Here is a 24,180-nt window from a genome sequence, read left to right as displayed (position 1 = left end):
CCAGAGGACAAAGGACTCTACTAATACAGTGCATACATGCCAAAGTACAATGCAGCATGCAGACGAGTAGAGAGTAAATCTACAGGAGCAAACAGAAACTTCACATGATGCCTAGTCCACAAACACAAGAAAGGATATGGTGATTAGAAGTAGTTTTATGGTTACCTGCTATCAAAATGCTCTAACATTAAGATACCAATCATCTGTTAACATACTCCACCATGTAAAAGATTTTCTACTTACACAATAAAAAACCTATTTACTGCCACCGATGGAGATTCTGAAATACATATTGGAAAAATTATCCATGTAAAACTACTAGAAGAAAACATAAGGGAAAACTACATAACATTGGTCTGGGCAATACTTTTTTGGATTTGACCCCAAAAGCTCAGGCAACAAAACCAAAACCAGACTAATGGGATTACATCAAAATAAAAAGCTTCTGCACAGTAAAAGAAACAATCAACACAGTGAAGTGACAACCCATGGATTGGGAGAAAATACTTGCAAGCCATACATTTGATAAGGGGTTAATATCCAAAATATGTAAAGAACTTAAACAACTCAAAAGCAAAAAAACAACCTAATTAAAAACTAGGCTAAGGACCTGAACAGATACTTCTCAAGAGAAGGCATATGAATAGTCAACAGATATATGAAAAAATGTTCAACATCACTAATCATTAAGGAAAGGCAAATTAAAATCACAATGAGATATCACCACATACCTGTCAAAATGGATATTATCAAAAAGATAAAAGATAACAAATGTTGGCAAGGATGTAGAGAAAAGGGAACCCAGGTGCACTTGGTGGGAATGCAAATCAGTACAGCCATTTTGGAAAACAGGATGGAGGTTCCTCAAAAAATTAAAAACAGAATTACTATATAATCCAGCAATTCAATTTCTGAATATATATTGAAAGGAACTGGAATCAGTATATCAAAGAGATATCTGCACTCCCATGTTTATTACATCATTATTCACAATGGCCACATTATGGAACCAACCTAGGTGTCCATATCAGATGAATGGATAAAGAAAATGTGACATATATACAAAATGAAATACAATTCAGCCTTTAAAAATAGGGAATTCTGTCATTTGTGCAACGTGGATGAACCTGGAGGACATTATGCTACTGAAATAACCCAGGCACAGAAAGGCATAATGCCACGTTTTCACTTTTATGTGGAATCCAAAACTGAACTCATAGAAACAGAGAGCACAATGGTGGTTACCAGAGGCTGGGGGTTAAGGGGAAATGGGGAGATGTTGGTCAAAGAGCTCAATGTTACAGTTAGGAAGAATAAATGGTAAGTACTTGAGGCAATAAATATGTTTAATAAAAACAGAAAATTGGGCTGGGCATGGTAGCTCACACCTGTAATCCCAGAACTTCGGGAGGCCAGGGTGGGCAGATCACCTGAGGTTGGGAGTTTGAGACTAGCCTGACCAACATGGAGAAACCCCGTCCCTATAAAAATACATAATTAGCCAGGCGTGGTGGCGCATGCCTGTAATCCCAGCTACAAGGGAGGCTGAGATAGGAGAATCGCTTTAACCCAGGAGGCAGAGGTTGCGGTGAGCTGAGATTGTGCCATTGCGCTCCAGCTTGGGCAAGAGCAAAACTCCGTCTCAAAAAAAAAAGATTCAAGATTCAAAAGCCTCTATTATGTATACATTCCATTAACTATAACAATGGCATTTAAATATATACATCAAGTTGGCATCAAGATGCTCTTTTATGGCCAGGCGCGGTGGCTCACGCCTGTAATCCCAGCACTTTGGGAGGCTGAGGCGGGCAGATCACTTGAGGTCAGGAGTTTGAGACCAGCCTAGCCATCATGGTGAAACCTCGTCTCTACTAAAAATACAAAAATTAGCCAGGAGTGGTAGCGCACACCTGTAATCCCAGCTACAAGGGAGACTGAGGCAGGAGAATTGCTTGATCCCAAGGGCAGAGGTTGCAGTGAGCCGAGATTACGCCACTGCACTCCAGCCTGGGCAACAGAGTGACACTCTGTCTCAAAAAAAAAAAAAAAAAGATGCTCTTTTACTACTTTAAACAACACAAGAAAAATGGATTTGAGGCCAGGAACTCATGCTTGTAATCCCAGCACTTTGGGAGGCCAAAATAGGAGGATCATTTGAGCCGAGGAGTCCAAGACCAGCCTGGGCAACATAATGAGACCTTATCTCTACAAAAAATTTTAAAAATTAGACAGGTGTGGTGGCCTATATCTGTAGTCCCAGCTACTTAGGAGGCTGAGGTGGAAAGATCGTTTGAGCCCAGGAGGTCAAGGCTACAGTGAGCCATCATCATGCCACTTTACTACAGCCTGGGCAACAGAGGAAGACCTTGTCTCAAAAAGAAAAAAATTTAAAAAAAAGGATTAGAATTCCTACGATTTTCATATTATCAGACAATGGCTTTAATACTTTGTTTCTAGGCAGGGTGCAGTGGCTCACACCTGTAATCTCAGCACTTTGGGAGGCCAAGGTGGGTGGATTACGAGGTCAGGAGTCTGGCCAACTCCTGTTGACCAGTCTGGCCAAGATGGTGAAATCCTGTCTCTACTAAAAACACAAAAATTAGCTGGGCATGGTGGCAGGTACCTGTAATCCCAGCTACTCGGGAAGCTGAGACAGGAGAATCATTTGACCCTGGGAGGTGGAGGTTGCAGTGAGCCGAGGTCGTACCACTGCACTCCAGCCTGAGCGACAGGGTGACTGTCTCAAAAAAAAAAAAAAAAATTGCTTCTTATACCTTTTAAAACAAAGTCTACATTAATGAAAAACAAAATTAACAGCCATCTATTGCTGGTGGAAGTTGAAGGAAATGCATAGCAGGTAACACATTTTTATTTAAAGAATATTCTGCCTGAGCACCATTCTGTCTATATAAAAGGATTCAAAAAGTAATCAAATACTCAGTTGGCAACTTCCCTAAATGGCATTTAAGATGTGCTTATCTTATCAGAGAAAAATTGAAAAAAACTATTCAGGTGGAAGTCTTTGGTTAGTTCTAAGCTTTAAAAATTTTTTCTGAACAGAAATGAGAATGTTGTCTAGCAAAAAAAAAAAAAAAAAAAAGATTCAATGGAAAAATCTCCTGAGTGGCTGAATACATTATGGTTTAATATATTAAACCATAATGTATTCTATTAATATTTAAAGTTTCCCTCCAAGGCAGAGCTTGCAGTGAGCCAAGATCGCACCACCGCACTCCAGCCTGGGCGAGAGAGAGAGAGACTCCGTCTCAAAAAAAAAAAAGTTTCCCTCCAAAAATATTATAGTTATTTAAGGGAAATAAAACCACCAGCAAGTTTACTTTATGAATGTAATTCTACATTAAGCTACAGCATTAAAAAACAACAAAAAAAAATATGGTGACAGACTAATATTAACATGAGCGTACATAAAAAATTAACCAGATGAAGTCATTTGCAATTCAGGCAGCTATAAAAAATATCAGAGAAATAGGCCCGGCTCGGTGGCTCACGCCTGTAATCTGGGATTACACTTTGGGATTGCACTTTGGGAGGCTGAAGCGGGCGGATCACGAGGTCAGCAGATCGAGACCATCCTGGCTAACACGGTGAAACCCTGTCTCTACTAAAAATACAAAAAAATTAGCTGGTCATGGTGGCGGGTGCCTGCATTCCCAGCTACTCGGGAGGCTGAGGCAAGGAGAATGGTGTGAACCTGGGAGGCGGAGCTTGCAGTGAGTCAAGATGGCGCCACTGCACTCCAGCCTGGACAACAGAGCAAGATTCCATCTCAAAAAAAAAATCAGAGAAATAAATTGTATCTCTTTTTGCTAAAGACTTAAGTAATTATTATTCTATCTCGGTTAATTTAGTCAACATGTATAGTCACATTTCCTAAGTATAAATTCTTCATTAACTTTATTAGGTTTTTCTGTGAAAATTTTACTTAGAATTCAAGTAAAATGTCCTCTCTCAGCTTCAGGCTGAGTTATAACATAAAGCTACCAACTGACAGTACAGTAACAGCTCATATTGCCTAAAAAAATCATTGTACTTTTTTGTTTGTTTGTTTTCGAGACAAAGTCATGTTCTGTTGCCCAGGCTGGAGTGCAGTCGCTCGATCTCGGCTCACTGCAACCTCCATCTCCCAGGTTCAAGGGATTCTCCTGCCTCAGCCTCCCGAGTAGCTGGTATTACAGGTGCATGCTACCACGCCCAGCTAATTTTTGTATTTTTAGTAGAGACGAGGTTTCCCCATGATGGCCAGGCTGGTCTCAAACTCCTGACCTCAGTGATCTGCCCACCTTGGCCTCCCAAAGTGCTGGGATTACAGGTGTGAGCCACTGCACCTGGCCCATTGCACTCTTAAAGGCATGAAGTACCAAAAGGGATTTTTTTTTTTTTTTTTTTTTTGAGACAGAGTCTCGCTCTGTGGTTAAGGCTGGAGCACAGTAGGGTGGTCTCTGCTCACTGCAATCTCTGCCTCCTGGATTCAAGCGATTCTCCTGCCTCAGCCTCCCGAGTAGCTGGGATTACAGGCTTGTGCCACCAAGCCCAGCTAATTTTTGTATTTTTAGTAGAGATGGAGTTTCAGGGTTTTACCATGTTGGCCAGGCTGGTCTCAAACTCCTGGCCTCAAGTGATCTGCCCACCTCAGCCTCCCAAAGTGCTGGGATTACAGGCAAGAGCCATGTAATGTGGCCCAAAAGAAAAAATATAATTTTAAAGCTTTAAACTTGATATTTCAAAATTGGAATCATAAAGCAAATCAATTTTATAAACTCTAAAATGATACTAAATCTGGGTGCAGGACTAGATTTGTTATTTCAAAAAGAAAATGACACTAAATAGGAACTATGGAGAAAATTTATTTATTTATTTTGAGATGGCGTTTCACTCTTGTTGCCCAGGCTGGAGTGCAATGGCGGGATCTTGACTCACTGCAACCTCCACCTCCCAGGTTCAAGCGATTCTCCTGCCTCAGCCTCCCAAGCGGCTGGGATTACAGGCACCCGCCCCCATGCCTGGCTAATTTTTTGTATTTTTTTTTTAGTAGAGACGGGGTTTCACCATGTTGGCCAGGCAGGTCTCAAACTCCTGACCTCAGGGATCCACCCACCTTGGCTTCCCAAAGTGCTGGGATTACAGGCAAGAGCCACCATGCCTGGCCCCAAAGGGAAAATATAATTTTAAAGCTTTAAAATTGATATTTAAAAATTGGAGTCATAAATCAATTTTATAAACTCTAAAATGATACTAAAATCTGAATATAGAACTAGATCTTTTTTTTTTTTTTTTTTTGAGATGGAGTCTCACTCTGTTGCCAGGCTGGAGTGCAGTGGCGCGATCTTGGCTCACTGCAATCTCCGACTCCCGGGTTCAAGCCATTCTCCTGCCATTCATCCGCCTACCTCAGCCTCCCAAAGTGCTGGGATTACAGGCGTGGTCCACCGCACCCGACCTTTTTTTTTTTTTAAATGATACTAAATAGGAACTATAGAGAAAATTTAAAAAATAAGTTATGGGGTTTCAATCTCAAATCGAGTTCTAAAATTACCTTAAGTAAAAAAAAAAAAAAAACCGCAAATAAAATTTCTTGTGCTACTTGCTATATTTGCTTTATTAATTAATACTACCATATATTTTTCTTTTCTTTTTTTTTTTTTTGAGACAGGGTCTCACTTTGTTGCCCGGGCTGGAGTACAGTGGCATGATCATGGCTCACTGCAGCCTTGAATTCCTGGGCTCAAGCAATCCTCTTGCCTCAGCCCTCCAAAGCAAAGATTATAGGCATGAGGCACTGTGCTCAGCCAAGTCACTTTTCAGTGAGTTTTCATAGATATTATCTCATTTAATCTTTAAAAACAACTACAGGTAGGTGAGGCAAGTTATCTCTCTTCTTTGTAATCATGGAACTTTAACTACAATGAAAGTTAAGTCTTTGTCAAAGCAAGGTGACTACTACAGGACAGAGCCAGAACTAAAAACCAAGTTTCTGACATCTCATGGTACCTCTCAGTGAAGAAAATATAAAAAGATTTCTTATCACCCAGGGATCTGTTGGATTGGGCTTCACAACTCAGGGAAATTCCAACATGAATATGCTATATACATGGTCATTAAAGACCTTAATAGTGGATATAGACCTCTATCATAACAGCATGAGGAACTCTGGGCCCACTTCCCAGTAAAACTGATGAAATTTATTAAAGAATAAACATTTAAAGCACCTGGAAATGGTCTTAATGGCATATAAATGAATAAACATCTATTCAAGAAAATCTATGAAAATTTGGTAACAAAAGCAAACGTCTGTGGTAACTGAACTAAGACCACTCCCTCTCAGCACCCTCCCAGCAAAGGAAGGCAGAAACTGCACTTCAGACTGGTACAGCCAAGAATACAGGGTTCCCCCTCCCCTCAGCTTCCAGTTGGGTTTTCTTCTCAGGAGGAACAGAATATTAACCAGCACTTCTCATCTATTACTGAGGCCAATTTCCAGGTAAGTGTGGTTGACAGGGGGTGACTCTCTTCTTCCACCAGCCTCTGCTCACAGAATGGAGGCTCTACCTTGAGCATGGCACCACTGAGAACACCAGGGCCCTGATCGCCTTTACCCAGTTCATAAGGCAGCAGAGGCAAGTTCTACGCCAGCAGAGGCAAGTCAAAAATACTTACAGCTTTTTTTTTTAATATTATTATACTTTAAGTTTTAGGGTACATGTGCACAATGTGCCAGTTAGTTACATATGTATACATGTGCCATGCTGGTGTGCTGCACCCATTAACTTGTCATTTAGCATTAGGTATATCTCCTAATGCTGTCCCTCCCCCCTCCCCCCACCCCACAACAGTCCCCAGAGTGTGATGTTCCCCTTCCTGTGTCCATGTGTTCTCATTGTTCAATTCCCATCTATGAGTGAGATAAAAAAAAAAAAAAAGAAATGAGAAAAAAACAAATAGACATTTGTAAAACAAAGACTAAAAAAAAAAAAAAATACTTAAAGCTACTGACCCCACCTCCCATAAATGCTCAGCTCCTAAAGTGAAGGTGTTATTCAGACAGAAATGAGCCATTGTCCCCACCCCCAGCTCCAAAACCTTGGCTCAGAGATTGCCCTGAGTGAGAGGCAGAAGGGCGGGGCTGGGGTAGGGGAGCCAGCCAGGACAGGAAACAAAGCAGACAACTCCTAATCTCTTCCCAAAGGAACTGACTTCATTTGCAACACACCTAGAAAAGTCCAAGGCTAAGGGTGTTCTCAAAAACACTGGAGATTGTAGCAAAATGTACAGTGGTCCCCCTTTATCTGCAGGGGCTGTGTTCCAAGACCTCCCATGGGTGACTGAAACTGCGGATAATACTGAACCCTATACTGTTTTTTCCTATATACACATGCCTATGATAAATTTTAATTTATAGATTAGTCACAATAAGAGATTAACAATAGCTAATAATAGAACAATTATCACAATACACTGTAATAATAGTTATATGAATGTGGTCTCCCAAAATATCATGTTGTACTGTATGCACCCTTCTTCTGATGAAGGAGGTACCAAGTGTGACAGTATGAGATTTTATGATGCTACTCAGAACGGTGATCAACTTAAAATTTATCAATTGTTTATTTCTGGAATTTTCCATTTAATATTTTCAGAGCACAACTGACCATGGGTAACCACAAAAAGCAAAACTACAAATAAAGGGGGGACTACTGTAACTGGGAGAAGATTCTTAGATTTAATAAAAATACAGGCTAAACTATAGGCTAGCTAATTTGCAGGAAAGAATAGGAGTGGAGAATAGACTTCACTAAAAGAACACAGCAGTCACTAAACAAATAAACAGGCAAATAACAATGACAAGATATGGGGGCACAGTACCCAGAGTTGCTATAATATATAATCTAAAATATCTAGTTTCCAACAAAAAATTATGAGACATGCAAAGAAACAGAAAAGTATGACCCATACATAGGGAAAAAAATCAGGCAACAAAAAATACCTGTGAGACTGACAAGATGCTGGATTTAACAGAAAAAAAAATTCAAATAGCTTTTATAAATATGTTTGAAGACCTAAGAAAATAATAAATTAAAAATAAAGGAAGGTATAACAGTATCACATCAAGCAGAGAGTATCAAAAAAGAGACAGAAATTATTAAAAACAAAACAAAACAAAAACTGGCCAGGCGCAGTGGCTCATGCCTGTAATCCCAGCACTTTAGGAGGCCAAGGCAGGTGGATCAAATGAGGTCAGGAGTTCCAGACCAGCCTGGCCAACATGGTGAAACCCAGTCTCTACCAAAAATACAGTAATTAGCCCGGGCATGGTGGTGCATGCCAGTAAGCCCAGTTACTCCAGAGGCTGAGGCAGGAGAATCACCTGAATCCAGGAAGCAGAGGTTGCAGTGAGCCGAGATCACGCCACTGCACTCCCGCCTGGGCGACAAGAGTGAAACTCCATCTTAAAAAACAAAACAAAACAAAAAAAACAGCCAGGCGCAGTGGCTCACGCCTGTAATCCCAGCACTTTGGGAAGCCAAGGAAGGTGGATCATTTGAGGTTAGGAGTTCAAGACCAGCTTGGTTGTCTCTACTAAAAACACAAAATTGGTGGAGTGTGGTGGCTCACGCCTGTAATCCCAGCACTTTGGGAGACTGAGGCAGGTGGATCACAAGGTCAAGAGTTCGAGACCAACCTGACCAACATGGTGAAACCCCGTCTCTACTAAAATACAAAAATTAAAAAATACAAAAATTAGCAGGACGTGGTGGCGTGCATCTGTAATCCCAGCTACTCGGGAGGCTGAGGCAGGAGAATCACCCAACCTGGGAGGCAGAGGTTGCAGTGAGCCGAGATTGCGCCACTGCACTCCAGCCTGGCGATGAGTGAGACTCTGTCTCAAAAAAAAAAAAAAAAAAAGAAATGTAAATGCTTCTGTAGAAAATATTCACTTAATCCAAAAGATAACAGTAGAAAAGAAAGGAGCAAAAAGACATGAGACATAGAAAATAAAAGGTAAAATGGCAGATGTAAATCCAACTAAATCAACATAAAATATGAATGGATTAACAACTGAATCAAAGGGCAGAGATTGTTAGATTGGATTAAAAAAAACAAGATCCAACTATATGCTGTCTACAAGAGATACTTTAGATTAAAAAATACAAACAGATTCACAGTAAAAGGGATGGAAGAAGATATACAAAACAAACTATAAAAAAGCTCACACTGGCCAGGCGTGGTGGCTCACACCTATAATCCCAGCATTTTGGGAGGCCGAGGCAGGTGGATCACAAGGTCAGGAGATTGAGATCATTCTGGCTAACATGGTGAATACTAAAAATACAAAAAATTAGCTGGGTGTGGTGGCACGCACCTGTAATCCCAGCTACTCGGGAGGCTGAGGCAGGAGAATGGCGTGAACCCGGGAGGCGGAGCTTGCAGTGAGCCGAGATCATGCCACTGCAGTCCAGCCTGGGCGACAGAGTGACTCCGTCCCAAAAAAAAAGAAAACAAAAAAAAGCTCACATGGCAATATCAGTAGCAGACAAAACAGACTTTTTTTTTCCTTTTTTTTCTGAGGCAAGGTCTTACTCTGTCACCTAGACTGGAATGTAGTGGTGAGATCCCAGTTCACTGCAGCCTCAAACTTCTGGGCTCCAGCGATCCTCCCAACTCACCTCTCCAAGTAGCTGAGCCCACAGGTGTGTGCCACCACGCATGGCTAATGTTTTTTATCTTTTGTAGAGACAAGGTCTCATTACATTTCCCAGGCTGGTCTCAAACTCCTGGGCTCAAGAAATCCTTCTGCCTCAGCCTCCCAAAGTGCTGGGATTACAGGCATGAGCCACCATGCCAGACCTAAAATAGACTTGAAAACAAAAAACGTAACTAGAGGTAAAGAAGGACATTTTATAATGATAAAAGGGTCAATCTATCAGGAAGATATGAAATTATAAATACATATGCAGTTAATTTAATAACAGAGCACCAAAGTACATTAAACAAATCTGACAGAAAGAGAGGGAGAAATAGACAATTCAACAATAATAGTTGAAGACTGCAATATCTCATTTTTAATAATAAATAGGGGCTGGACACGGTGGCTCACACCTGTAATACCAGCTCTTTGGGAGGCCAAGGTGGGCGGATCATGAGGTCAAGAGATCGAGACCATCCTGGCCAACATGGTGAAACCCCGTCTCTACTAAAAATACAAAACTTAGCCAGGTGCAAGCCTGTAATCTCAGCTACATGGGAGGCTGAAGCATGAGAATCACTTGAACCTGGGAGGCAGAGGTTGCAGTGAGCTGAAATCGTGTCACTGCACTCCAGCCTAGGCAACAAGAGTGAAACTCTGTCTCGAAAAATAATAATAATGATAATAATAATAATAATAAAAAGTAGGACAACAGGGCAGATGATCAGCAAGGAAACAGAAAGCTTGAACAATACTATAAAATCAATTAGACCTCACAGACACCTATAGAACACTTTCAACAACAGAATATACATTCTTCTCAAGTACATATGGAACGTTCTAAGACAGACCACCTGCTAGGCAGGCTATAAAACAAACGTCAATACATTTAAAGGGTCAAATAATATAAAGTATGTTCTCTGATCAGAATGGCATGAAATCAGAAATCAATAAAAGAAAAAATAGACAAACAAATACATGGGAAGTAAAAAATGTACTTCTAAATAACCAATGGGTCAAGGAAGAAAACCAAAAGGAAAAAAAAGAAAATACTTTAAATAAAAATGAAGGTATAGGCTGGGCGCAGTGGCTCACACCTATAATCCCAGCACTTTGGGAGGCCGAGGCGGGCAGATCACCTAGGTCAGGAGTTTGAGACCAGCCTGGCCAACATGGTGAAACCCTGCCTCTACTAAAAATACAAAAAATTAATTTGGCATGGTGGCGTGCACCTGTAATCCCAACTACTCGGGAAGCTGAGGCAGGAGAACTGCTTGAATCCAGGAGGCAGAGGTTGCAGTGAGCCAAGATCATGCCACTCTCCAGCCTGGGTGACAGAGTGAGACTCCGTCTCAAAAAAAAAAAGAAGGTATAACATACAAAAACTTATGGGAAGCTGGGCATGGTGGTGCACATCTGTAAACCCTACTACTTGTGAGGCTGAAGCAGGAGGATTGCTTGAGCCCATGAGTTCGAAGCCAGCCTAGGCAATATAGCAGGACCCCATTTGTAAACAACAAGAACAACAACAAAAATTTATGGAATAAAACTAAGGCAGTACTTAAAGGGAAACTTGTATTCGTAAATGCCCAATTAAGAAACTAGCAATAACCTAGACTTCTGCCCTAGGACACTGGAAAATGAAACACAAACTACACTTAAAGCAAACAGAGGAAGGAAATAATACAGGCAAGAGCAGAAATTAATAGAGAACAGAAAAACAACAAAGAAAATCATGAAACCAAAAGGTGGTTCTCGTGAAAGACCAACAAAATTGGCAAACCTTTAGCTAGATTGACCAAAAAGAAAGAGTAAATGCCCAAAATTACTAGAATCCAAAATGAACAGGAAAATCAACCTTATGAAAAATAAAAAGAATCATAATGAAATACTACTGTATGCCAACAAATAAGATAACAGATAAAATGGACAAATTCCTAGAAAGACACAAACTCATACACAACTGACTCAAAAAGGAACAATCTTAATAGACCTATAGCAAGTAAAGAGACTGAATTAGTAATCAAAAAAACTACCCACAAAGAAAAGCCAAGGAGGCTTCACAGCTGAAGTCTTCCGAACATTCAAAAAATAATTAAGGCCAGGCGCTGGCTCACACCTGTAATCCTAGCACTTTGGGAGGCTGAGACAGGGGATCATTTGAGGTCAGGAATTCAAGACCAGCCTGACCAACATGTTGAAACCCCAACTCTACTAAAAATACAAAAAAAATTAGCCAGACGTTGTGGCATGTGCCTGTAGTCCCAGCTACTTGGGAGGCTGAAGCAGGAGAATTGCTTGAACCCAGGAGGCAGAGGTTGCAGTAAGCCAAGATCATACCACCGCACTCTAGCCTGGGTGACAGAGTGAGACTCTATCTCAAAAAATAAAAATAAAAAAATAAAAAATAAAAAATAGTTGCCTGGGCGCAGTGGCTCACGCCTGTAATCCCAGCACTTTGAGAAGCTGAGGTGGGCAGATCACTTGAGGTCAGGAGTTTAAGACCAGCCTGGCCAACATAGTGAAAGCATGTCTCTACTAAAAATACAAAAATTAGCTGGGTGTGGTGGTGCGTTTCTGTAGTCCCAGCTACTCAGGAGGCTGAGGCAGGAAAGTTGCTTAAACCAGGGAGGCAGAGGTTGCAGTAAGCTAAGATCACGCCACTGCACTCCAGTCTGGGTGACAGAGCCAGACTCCCTCTCAAAAAATAAAAATAAATAAATAACCTAATCAAAATAAGCAAAGGAAGATTACAAATGGCCAATATGCACCTGAAAGGATGCTCAACATCACTGACCATCAAGGGAATGTAAATCAAAACGACAATGAAATAACATATTCACTAGGGTTGCTAAAATCAAGAAGATACATAGCAAAGGCACAAGAGAACAAAAAAATAAAAAGACACATAGTAACAAGTGATGCTGAATATGTGGAGAAATCATTATCCTTACACACTGCTGGTAGGAATTTAAAATAGTGCAGCCACTTTGGAAAACAGTCAGGCAGTTCCCCAGACATCTAAACATAGACTTAGGGCTGTGTGTGGTGGCTCATGCCTGTAATCCCAGCACTTTGGGAGGCTGAGGCAGGAGCTCGAGACCAGCTTAACCAACATGGTGAAACTGCATCTCTACTAAAAAAAATACAAAAATTAGCCGGGCGTGGAGGTGTATGCCTGCAATCCCAGCTACTTGGGAGGCTGAGGCACGAGAATCGCTTAAACCCAGGAGGCAGAGGCTTCAGTGAGCCAAGATTGTGCCACTGAACTCCAGCCTGAGTGACAGACCCTGTCTCAAAAAAAAAAAAAAAACAGTTATTGCATGACCCAGCAATTCTAGTCCTAGTTATGTACCCCTAATATTCTACCTGCATTTGGAACTACCTTCAAAGTATATGGTACAATCTTTGAATATTTTCTGTGTAGAATATCCGATTTTTTTTTTTTTTTTAGATGGAGTTTCACCCTTGTTGACCAGGCTGGAGTACAATGGCACGATCTCGGCTCACTGCAACCTCTGCTTCCCGGGTTGAAGCAATTCTCCTGCCTCAGCCTCCTGAGTAGCTGGGATTACAGGCGCCTGCCATCACGCCTGCCTAATTTTTTGTATTTTTAGTAGAGACAGAGTTTCACCATGTTGGCCAGGCTGGTCTCGAACTCCTGACCTCAGGTGATCCACCCACCTCGGCCTCCCAAAGTGCTGCGATTATAGGCGTGAACCATTGCTCCTGGCCTGCTTATCATTTTTTATTTTATTTTTTATTTTTTTATTTTTTGAGACCAAGTTTCGCTCTTATTGCCCAGGCTGGAGTGCAATGGCACGATCTTGGCCCACCGCAACCTTCGCCTCCTGGGTTCAAGCGATTCTCCTGCCTCAGCCTCCTGGGTAGCTGGGATTACAGGCATGCACCACCATGCCTGGCTAATTTTTTTGTATTTTTAGTAGAGATGGGGTTTCTCCATGTTGGTCAGGCTGGTCTTGAACTCCCGACCTCAGGTGATCTGCCTGCCTCGACCTCCCAAAGCGCTGGGATTACAGGTGTCAGCCACCACACCTGGCATGATTTTCTAATAGCCAAATATTTAAAGCCAAATCTGATGAAAAGGAGTAACATTTTTAAAATCAAATATAAACAATTCTCTATTCTGTAACTATGCTTAATTTTCTTTATAGCACTTTTCATAGCCTGATAATTATAGTATATATTTATTTATTGCCTGTCTTCTCACTAGTATATGAGAGCAGAAATTTATATCACCCACTGCTATATCACCGGCACCTAAAATAGTACCTGTTAGAAAGTCAGTAAATATGTGATTACCTGGACTCTCAAAATAATTACTTGAAGGGCATTTCTTTATAAATAAATAAAAATTTCTTTATAAATATATAGCTAGTCTCATAATTGTACAGTCACATCTTGTATAATTTAGAAATTCTCCAAGTTAGTTGATAAGGCACACAAAGTTCAGAAATGTATATTCTTATCTTCCAATCAAAACTTGAAGCAAACTTTTGTTTTGTTTTGTTTTGTTTTTGAGATGGAGTCTCACTCTGTTGCCCAGGCTGTAGTGCAGTGGCGCGATCTCGGCTCACTGCAAGCTCTGCCTCCCGGGTTCATGCCATTCTCCTGTTGAGGCAGTATTTTAAAAAGCTGACAACTCCCTAAGTTTTGGGTGGAAACTATCATGGCAGTACAGTCCTTAAATCAAAGGAACTGGGATTCAAGCACTCAATTTAGTAAGATAAATCTTTTTTTTGAGACAGAGTCTCGCTCTGTCCCCGAGGCTGGAGTGCAATGGCATAACCTTGGTTCACCGCAACCTCCACCTCCCAGATTCAAGCAATTCTCCTGCCTCAGCCTCCCAAGTAGCTGGGATTACAGGTGTCCACCAATACGTCCAGCTAATTTTTTGTATTTTTAGTAGAGATGGCGTTTTGCCATGTTGGCCAGGCTGTTCTCAAACTCCTGACCTCAGGTGATCCACCCACCTCAGCTTCCCAAAGTGCTGGGATTACAGGTGTGAGCCACCGCGCCTGGCTGATCAATCTTAAATCTATCCATACTAACACAGTACTCTGACACTGAAAAACAAGCTGTTTCAGGCTACTGAAATGCTGGAAATATTTCCGTCCATATCATGTAAAAATATTATTTTCTATCAAAATCACCATACATAATTTTATAATAAGAATATAGTTGATTTAAACCTCAAAAGGTCCCTTCCACTCAATGTTTAGGGAAAAAAAATAAATCAAAACAAAGCCCACTGAGGAAAGAATCATCAATATCAAACCTACCGGATCAACAGTAGGCAAAACATCTTTCTTCTCCAGGCCATCAACTTCGTCTTCATCTGTGCTATATTCTTCCATTGTTTCACCACTAACAAAGTGGATGACTCTCCTTGGGACTTTCTTCTTTTTTCCTATGACTCCCAGTTCTACATTTTCAAAGCCTCTTTCGTTACTCATCTATATCAACGATATTTTAAGAAAATGAGTTTCAAGTGAGATTAATTTTCTTTCATTACACGTGAAAAACTTTTGGTAGGTTTATTGTAGTAAAGAAATAAATCTTTAAGCAGTTTTGGTTTGTTCTGAGACATGGTCTCACTCTATTGCTCAGGCTGGAGTACAGTGTCAAGACTATGGCAGACCAAATAAAACCCACCATTTGTAAACCAAATCTGGAAAGCAGATTATCAGCATTGTATCTCTGAACTTCCAGATGTCTTGGCCAGTAATACATATGTAACAAAAGAGATTTCTGATAGTAAAAAGATTTCACAAGTTCTTAAACTTTAGTAGTCTATGGAATTTTTTTTTCCCCCAGACAGGGTCTGGCTGTTGCCTAGGCTGGAGAGCAGTAGTGCAATCACGGCTCACTGCAATCTCAAATTCCTGGCCTCAAGTGATCCTTCTGTGTCCACCTCCTGAGTACCTGGGACTATAGGAGCATGCCACCACACTTGGCTAATTTTTTTTTCTATAGGGACAGTGTCTGGCTATGTTGCCCAGGTTGGTCTCCAACTACTGGCCTTAAGCAATCCTCCCACTTCAGCCTCCCAAAGTTTTAGGATTACAGGCATACGTCACTGTGCCTGAGCTGGAATTCTAATACAAATTTTACTCCTATATATTTACACTATATATATCTATATATATAGTGGGAGATGGTGAAGAGCTTCTTTTCATTGTCCTCTTGCCTCAAGTTTAAACTCCTAATAAAACTGCCTGAAGTTGGGCCAGGCGCGGGCTCATACCTGTAATCCCAGCATTTTGGGAGGCCGAGGCAGGCGGATCACAAGGTCAGGAGATCGAGACCACGGTGAAACCCTGTCTCTACTAAAAATATAAAAAATTAGCTGGGCGCAGCAGCGGGTGCCTGTAGTCCCAACTACTCGGGAGGCTGAGGCAGAAGAATGGCATGAACCTGGAAGGCGCGCCACTGCACTCCAGTCTGGGCAACAGAGCAAGACTCCATCTCGGAAAAAAAAAAAGAAAACTGCCTGAAGTTTAAACTTCCAGATTTCAAAAAGGTACAGTACATACAATTGTGAAGAAAAATCTGGCAACAGTGGTTACCCCATGGGTAGAAACTAAGATGGGGGAGAAGCAGAAGGCAAGGGAGTAGTCAAAGGAGGGCTTTTATTCTTTTTGCATATACAGGACTACAGTAATGTCATGATTACAGTCTATGTTCGTAGAATTCTCTAGGATAGTCCAGAGTACAAACATTTTGTTCTCTATAAAGATTCTTGTGGTTATAAGCAAACATAATTTAAACCCATGACTGCTGTTCAACCACTGGAAAAGCTCTTTGAATTGCTATTGCAAAAAAAGGATTATACTGATAAAAACAGTGAACTGCCCAGTTATGCAAGTATAAGCTACTTTGTTTTTATACATTGTTTCATCTTAATCTTCTAAGGTCCTTCTTAGAAAACAGATATGATTCTTCTCTGCCTTTTACCTCCCAAAGGTAAGTTTAGTCATTAGCCAGGATTTGAACTGCAGATCATGAAAATTTGGTAACAGGCCAGCCGTGGTGGCTCATACCTGTAATCCTAGCACTTTGGGAGGCTGAGGCAGGAGGATCACATGAGGTGAGGAGTTCGAGACCAGGCTGGCCAACATGGCAAAACCCCAACTTTACTAAAAATACAAAAATCAGCTAGGCATGGTGGTACACGTATGTAATTTCAGCTACTTGGGAGGCTGAGGCATGAGAATCACTTGAACCCAGGAGGTGGATGTTGCAGTGAGCCGAGATCGCACCACTGCACTCAAGCCTGGGCAACAGAGCCAGACTGTCTCAAAAAAATAAAAATAAGGCTGGGTGCTGTGGCTCAGGCCTATAATGGCAGCAATTTGGGGGGCCAAGGCAAGATAACCTGATGTCAGGAGTTGGAGACCAGCCCGGCCAACATGGTGAAACCCTGTCTCCACTAAAAAAACAAAAATTAGCTGGGCGTGGTGGCACGCACCTGTAGTCCCAGCTACTCGGGAAGCTGAGGAATGAGAATCACTTAAACCCGGGAGGTGGCGGTTGCAGTGAGCTGAGATCGTGCCACTGCACTCCAGTCTGGGTCACACAGCGAGACTCCATCTCAAAAAATAAAAATAATAAACTATCTTAAAAAATAAAATTTGGTAACATAGGCTACCTATGTATTAACATGAAAAAAAGTCACAATTCTTTCTAGCCTGTCCTGAGGGTTCAAATAAATCCCAGCCCTTAACAAGGAAAGATCAGGTCATTTATTGTGTCCATGAAAAAAATAAACAAGTAGTTAACCCAGGACACTTTTCTTCTACCTACCCCCAAGCCCCACCAATCCCCAGGCACTGACAGCCATCCCTACCCAGTCTCATGTTTACCCTTGAGATAAAATTTGGCTATGGCTGTCCTGACATCAACGTTTCCTTTTGGACCATGACTCAGCTTTTTGGATCCCTTAATTTCCTATGCAAAGGAAAGACAGATGAGCTAAGTTAGATCTCCAGTCATCCTACTAACTGGATGGATCTAATGTCAATGCAACAGCTCCAGTCAGTGAATAGAGAGCTCAGATCCTTCACAGTATACCACCATGCCCCACCCTATCCCACCCCCAAGACAGTAGAGGCTTCTCACTGCTACCTCTAGCAATCTCTCATTGGCTTAATTTTTTCCTTCTATGACACAGGCAAAGGAAGGAATGTCAGTGCTCAAAAAGCTTCAGATTTTAGAGTATTTCAGATGAGGGATAATGATTCCAACCTCTATTTGGGAGGCGGGGTGGGGGGCAATGAAGGAAGCACTAACAGGTAAAACCAACCAGAAAATCATTTGATACAAAATTCCCAATAATTATATTTTTAAAATATTTTTCTTTTTTTATTTTTCAAACATCAACTTGAACCAGAAATCCAATAATTACAAATAAAATTTACACTGTGGCTGGGCATGGTGGCTCATGCTTGTAACCCCAGCACTTTGGGAGACTGAGGCGGGCAGACAACTTGAGGTCAAGGGTGTGAGACCACCCTGGCTAACATGGTGAAATCCCACCTCTACTAAAAAAATACAAAAATTAGCCAGGCGCGGTGGAGCGTGCCTATAATCCCAGCTACACAGGAGGCTGAGGCAGGAGAATTGCTTGAACCCGGGAGGTGGAGGTTGCAGCGAGCCGAGATCGCGCCATGAACTTCAGCCTGGGCAACAGAGTGAGATTCTGTCTCAAAAAACAAAAAAAGTTACACTGTGAATTTTCCAAATGCTTCATTTTATAAATCTGCAAGTAAGAAAAATTTCACTGCCAATTATGCAAATTCCATAACGAACCCCAAAGATCTGAAAGATAGTTTCATAACACCAGGAAATTATGAGGTACCATGTCAATTAACATTTTACTCCATTTTATAGTTAACCAAACTATAAATGTGCTTATCTTTATTCTCAGGATCTGTTTTTTTCTTTTTTGAAAAGGAGTCTTGCTCTGTCATCCAGGCTGGAATGCAGTGGTGCGATCTTGGCTCACTGCAACCTCTACCTCCTGGGTTTCAGCGATTCTCCTGCCTCAGCCTCCCGAGTAGCTGGGACTACAGGCGTGAGCCATAATGCCCAGCTAATTTTTCTATTTTTAGTAGAGATGAGGGTTTCATCACGTTGGCCAGGCTGGTCTCGAACTCCTGACCTCAAGTGATCCACTGGCCTCAGCCTTCCAAAGTGCTGGGATTATAGGTGTGAGCCACTCTGCCCAGCTCAGGATCTGGTTTTAATGGCAATTTTTTGTATATACTCCCATGGCACCCAGACTTCTTTAAAACACATACTAGACTTAGAATTTATTCTTTGTCATCTTCCCCAACTAGGCTATTAGCAACATGGGGGTAGGTACTGCTATATCTTTCAGCCTAGAGTTCCTGGCACATAGTAAGTGCTTGGTAACAGAGGTACCAAATAAATCAATCACTGAGTGGTACTGAAATTTTAACTCCTTTAAAAACATTGAGGCTGAGATTCTGGTTAAAAGTCTATTCAGAGAAGCTGCTGGATAGAATGTCACAACAGGAGGCCGGGTGCGGTGGCTCACACCTGTAATCCCAGCACTTTGGGAGGCCAAGGCAGCAGGTGGATCACAAGGTCAGGACTTCAAGACCAGCCTGACCAAGATGGTGAAACCCCACCTCTACTAAAAATACAAAAATTAGCCAGATGTGGTTGCGTGCGCCTGTAGTCCTAGCTACTCAGGAGGCTGAGGCAAGAGAATTGCGTGAACCCGGGAGGTGGAGGTTGCAGTGAGCCAAGATCATGCCACTGCACTCCAGCCTGGGCCACAGAGTGAGACTCCGTCTTAAAAAAAAAAAAAAAAAGAATGTCACAACAGGTACTGGATGGCCTGTTTGGAGGCCTAATTCTAGACCCTATCTCCTATCTCTTACTCCCTTTCCCTACATTGCACTAGGGATTTCTCAGTTCTGCCAAACTTGGGAAGAAGTGTAAGATAGAGGCCTCTCCATCTCCTGAGATGTCCACTTCCCTGTTACTGTGCTCAACCCCCTGGGCATAGAACTGGAGTTCCCAAAGATGTTTCTGATTCAGGAATGTGAATCTGAAAGCACAAAGGGCAAATCAGAAAATGGAACTCATTGGTGTTTAACAAGAAAGAAGAGATATTTAATATTTAATAATATATATAATATATAAGAAATATATAATATTGAATGATAAAATTCCAGAGAGACTACACCAAAACTTAATAGTTACCTTTGGGGAATGAGAACATGAAGAAAGGGTGGTGGTGGGGTATTCCTGTGAATTTTTATCTTTTGTTCTACAGCCTTCTTTACTGGTTAAGTACTTATTTGTTAACCAAGAATGTGAAAACAACAGAATATCACTAACCCCAATCAAAGAGCCTCTCACTTCAAACAACATTTAGCTGGTATATAAGTACACGTGTGTTTACTTTGCTATTAGATCCAGGGCGGAGGTAGTGATTTTAAAAAAACAATTCTAGTAACAACAGGAAAAATCAAATTGAAAAACATATCAAGCACCATGGACTCAAAGGTTAAGTGTAAGTGCACTTGCCAACAATAGGTCTCAACTCAACTGAAAATGACGTGGCTTCCTTATCAATTCATGTTGTCCCCTGAATCCCCTTCTTAAGTAGGAGGGAAAAAACGTATTCCATATAGAGTTTGGTATGTGGGAAAGTTGTGTTTTTTGTTTTTGGGGTTTCTTTAGTTTTTTATTTAAGAGATGGGTTCTTGCTCTGTTGCCCAGGCTGGATAAGCTTTTGTTAATGCAAACGACATCTTATACTATAAGAGATACACAGAGATATACTCACAGTTTGGGGGAAATGTCTTACTAACATTCAGGTACTTAGTCTCAAAAATGAAGCTACTGAAAAAGCTTCATTCTCATGGAGGATGGGAAGAGTTACATACATGAGCAACTCAAGGGTTTTTTTTTTGTTGTTGTTGTTGTTGTTGTTGTTGTTGCTGTTTTGAGACGGAGTCTCGCTCTGTCTCCAGCCTGGAGTGCAGTGGCGTGATCTCGGCTCACTGCAACCTCCACCTCCAGGGTTCAAGCAATTCTCCTGCCTCAGCCTCCCGAGTAGCTGGGACTACAGGCGAGCGCCACCACGCCCAGCTAATTTTTGTATTTTTAGTAGAGAAGGGGTTTCACCATGTTGGCCAGACTGGTCTTGAACTCCTGACCTCAGGTGATCCACCCGCCTTGGCCTCCCAAAGTGTCTTTTTGTCTAATACTGAAAAGTTGCAAGAAACGTTAACTCTCTAAACCAGCGCTGTCCAATACAGTAACCACTAGCCACATGTGGCTAATGCGCACTTGAAATGTGGTCAGCCAGAACTGCGATATGCTATGCGTGTAAAATGCACCCAGGATTTAAAAGACTTAGAAAAGACTCCAAAAGAGAATGCAAATACTTCATTAATAACTTTCATAGTAATTTTAGGTTGAAATTGTTTTGATAAATTAGGTTAAATAAGATATGCTATTAAAATTAATATCGGTTTCACTTTTTTAAAACGTGCCTACTGGAAAATTTTAAATTACAATTTTCAATGCAGCTTGCATTCTATTTATGTTGGACAGCGCAGCTCGGAGCCTTAGTTGCCTCGGCGGTGAAATGGGGCTAACACCCACCTCGAGCGGTTACTGTAAGGATCCAGTGAATTAAAGCTGGTAAACGTTTGGCATATGCCAAGCAAAGGGCAGATGCCCAGGCAGGCGCTCGCACCAGAAGAGACTGAGAAGTGGTTGAAGCCGCCCTCACCTGGCTTCCAGCTACTGCAAGGACAGCCTTTGGGGGACACGCCTTTCTTCTTCCTCTGGTAGACCAGAAGCTGGACTATCACCCCAGGAACCCGAGGCCGCCCCAGAGTCTGCTGTGCTGCCAGCCAAGGGGTTGGTGAGTGAGGCGGGGGGCGCTCCTTCCCACAAGCTGGTCTCAGTGAGCAGAAACAGGGGTGCAGTGAGGAGGAACTCCAAAGCTGGGGCGGCCTGCTCGGAGGACGGCCGCGCAGGCTAAAAGAGCGGCCCGCGGAGAAGGCAAGGAGGCGGCTCGGCTCCCCGGACGTCAGCCTCGGCGGCCCCACCTACCTGCCCTGCAGATTCCCCGAATGCCGCGGCGGCCGCAGCTCCCGAGGCTGCGACGGCTTCTCCTCGTTCCACACCGCCCACTGGCTCCTGGTCCATCGTCGTCGCCACCACAGGGCTGCTGGCGCTGGTGAGAAAGAGGGTAATGGCCGGTAAGCCCACTTCCATCCTTGGTCTCCCCGCCCAGTCGCTGGCCGAGCCAGGCTGTCGGGAAGTGGGACTCACCCGCCCAGCGCCCGCCTCGCGCCGCGCCTAGCCAAGTCTCTGAGAAGGGGACTCGCCGGCCTGAGGGGCGGGGCCAGCCCGCGCCTCGCCTAGCCCGCCGGGCTCCGCACCCCGAGAGCTGGCCAACTGCAGTCTGGGAGGCGCAACTACCGGCTCGCGCGGGGCGGGGCGGGGCGGGGCGGGTCCTTGCGGGGCGTCGCTTCCGGCCAAGCAAGCATCCAGAGCTCGTGGATCCCCGCCTGGCACCGCCTGTGACGTCATTTCTGGTACGTGTACCTGAAGCCTGGCGTCTCGACCTCGGCGCAGCCCGTCACCAGCGGCGTCTGGGGCAGTCACCCCGCAGGACCTCGGTTTTTGCACTTGTAAAATGAAGACAGCTGTGTCGTTGTACTTCAAAGGCTAGTGATGGGATGTGGTTGCTGAAAAATGTAAAATGTACGGCTCGTGCTGCACTTTCCATTCCAAACGTGGGTGACAGTCCAGCCAAAATACCCTCGAAAGAAGAACCCCAGGCGTGATATTTGCTTACTCTTGTCTGAAATACTTAAGTATAACTGTAGAAAGTGTTAAGTGAAAAGACCTGAAGGAGAGCAAAGGGCAGTAGTAAGCTTCCATCTTGACAAATGTAAGGAATGTTTTATCTGTGTCTTAAAGTCGTGTGCGTATGTTAGAGGGGGCGTCCCAGATTTTTTCCGTCTTTCGCAATGTTCAACGAAAGTAAAAAATCATGCAATTACTGCATGACTTCAACATCAAACAAGTCTGAGGTTCTGCAGGTAAATGGTATATTGTTGTTTTAGCATGAAAGTTTTCACAAATATGTAGGGGGCAAAACCAAAACATACATTATTTTGGCTATGGGAGGCTTCATTTGATACTTTAAATTCCATTTTCATACTAGTCTCAATTCAGAAATGCTCCCTAAAGTTGTATGACCTTGTAAATGTTTTTCATCATAGCAACAGCAGGCCCAAATATTAAATATTCCTTTCTCTTCTGTGCCAAAGTTCTTCTCCTTACCCTCTGCCTAATGTTATTGTACACTTCCTATTCTATGTATAACTGGAACCTAAAAACAAAACCAAAAACTTTAAAAAACAAATAATCATTTGAAAACCATCTACGCCTTAAAAACTAGTTGGAAATCCATATTGCTCTCTATCCTGGTAATAAAATCAAGTTAGGTTGCTGCTGAAGTAAACAAGTTAGTACCTGATCTGACTCTGTATGGTGGCATCAGCAGGGAGTTGAGACAGTCCAAAACAGCAAAACCAAACTCGGCCATAAATTGAAAACAAAAATAAAGAACCAATTGTTAAGACTTCATGAATTGGCATTCATAAACAACACAGTTCTGCATTATATGTATTCAAAATCTCTTCCTTCTTACTGGCAAGCAGGGCAATCAACAATCTTTATTACTAAAACTTTGTGGGATATTTATAAATGCATGATTTTATTTTCCAAAGTGGCAATTAAATATCAAATTACAATTTTCTTTTTCTTTTTTTTCTTTTTTTTTTTTTTTGAGATGGGGTCTCACCCACGCTGGAGTGCAATGGCGCAATCTTGGCGCACTGCAACATCCGCCTCCCGGGTTCAAGCGATTCCCCCACCTCAGCCTGCCAAGTAGCTGGGATTACAGTTGTGCACTACCACGCCCGGCTAATTTTTGTATTGTTAGTAGAGACGGGGTTTCACCATGTTGGCCAGGCTAGTATCGAACTTCCGACCTCAGATGATCCACCCACCTCAGCCTCCCAAAGTGCTGGGATTACAGGCGTGAGCCACCACGCCTGGCCTCAAATTACAATTTTCATTGCCGAAGCAGAATATATTTTCACAGTTTACATGTGTATTTCTTAGTTTACTGAAAATTCAAAGTACAAGTTACATTCTAACGTGAACTGGAAGTATTTCCTAAAAAGTTATTTTTAACACAAATATCCAATTGAAGAGCAGTTTATTACAAATCAACAACTCGGGCTGGGCACGGTGGCTCACGCCTGTAATCCCAGCACTTTGGGAGGCGGAGGCGGGTGGATCACGAGGTCAGGAGATCGAGACCATCCTGGCTAACACGGTGAAACCCCGTCTCTACTATAAAATACAAAAAATTAGCCGGGCGT

The 24,180-nt window shown here is 42.4% G+C and overlaps 1 protein-coding gene across 3 annotated transcripts in view, besides 4 other annotated features; it reads right to left on the bottom strand.

The window, feature by feature from the left end:
* FAM177A1 (family with sequence similarity 177 member A1) overlaps nucleotides 1-23,551 on the bottom strand; it is a 38,477-nt gene extending 14,926 nt beyond the window's left edge. Inside the window, exons 1-4 of one of the 3 annotated variants that reach the window (NM_001079519.1) lie at nucleotides 23,264-23,551; nucleotides 22,328-22,470; nucleotides 21,830-21,953; nucleotides 15,007-15,180 (exon numbers count right to left, since the gene is read on the bottom strand). In NM_001079519.1, the coding sequence (NP_001072987.1) occupies nucleotides 15,007-15,180; nucleotides 21,830-21,925 (270 nt within the window). In that variant the 5' untranslated portion in view covers nucleotides 21,926-21,953; nucleotides 22,328-22,470; nucleotides 23,264-23,551. Of the gene's footprint in view, nucleotides 1-15,006; nucleotides 15,181-21,829; nucleotides 22,187-22,327; nucleotides 22,471-23,263 lie in introns of those variants that run through there. The other 2 variants (NM_001289022.3, NM_173607.5) reach the window with 2 other exon arrangements.
* Nucleotides 21,317-21,376: an enhancer, noted in NCBI's record as "active region_8262". NCBI's record gives its function as "activates an Ori minimal core promoter by ATAC-STARR-seq in GM12878 lymphoblastoid cells {active_cell/tissue: GM12878}" and the evidence as "EXISTENCE:reporter gene assay evidence [ECO:0000049][PMID:35858748]".
* Nucleotides 21,477-21,746: an enhancer, noted in NCBI's record as "active region_8261". NCBI's record gives its function as "activates an Ori minimal core promoter by ATAC-STARR-seq in GM12878 lymphoblastoid cells {active_cell/tissue: GM12878}" and the evidence as "EXISTENCE:reporter gene assay evidence [ECO:0000049][PMID:35858748]".
* Nucleotides 21,997-22,346: a silencer, noted in NCBI's record as "silent region_5673". NCBI's record gives its function as "represses an Ori minimal core promoter by ATAC-STARR-seq in GM12878 lymphoblastoid cells {active_cell/tissue: GM12878}" and the evidence as "EXISTENCE:reporter gene assay evidence [ECO:0000049][PMID:35858748]".
* Nucleotides 22,467-22,666: an enhancer, noted in NCBI's record as "active region_8260". NCBI's record gives its function as "activates an Ori minimal core promoter by ATAC-STARR-seq in GM12878 lymphoblastoid cells {active_cell/tissue: GM12878}" and the evidence as "EXISTENCE:reporter gene assay evidence [ECO:0000049][PMID:35858748]".

The sequence above is a fragment of the Homo sapiens genome, chromosome 14, assembly GCF_000001405.40.
Source record: "Homo sapiens chromosome 14, GRCh38.p14 Primary Assembly".
Classification (NCBI taxonomy): Eukaryota; Metazoa; Chordata; class Mammalia; order Primates; family Hominidae; genus Homo; species Homo sapiens.
Note: the sequence above shows the minus strand (reverse complement) of the source record. Positions and strands in the feature narration are given on the sequence as shown.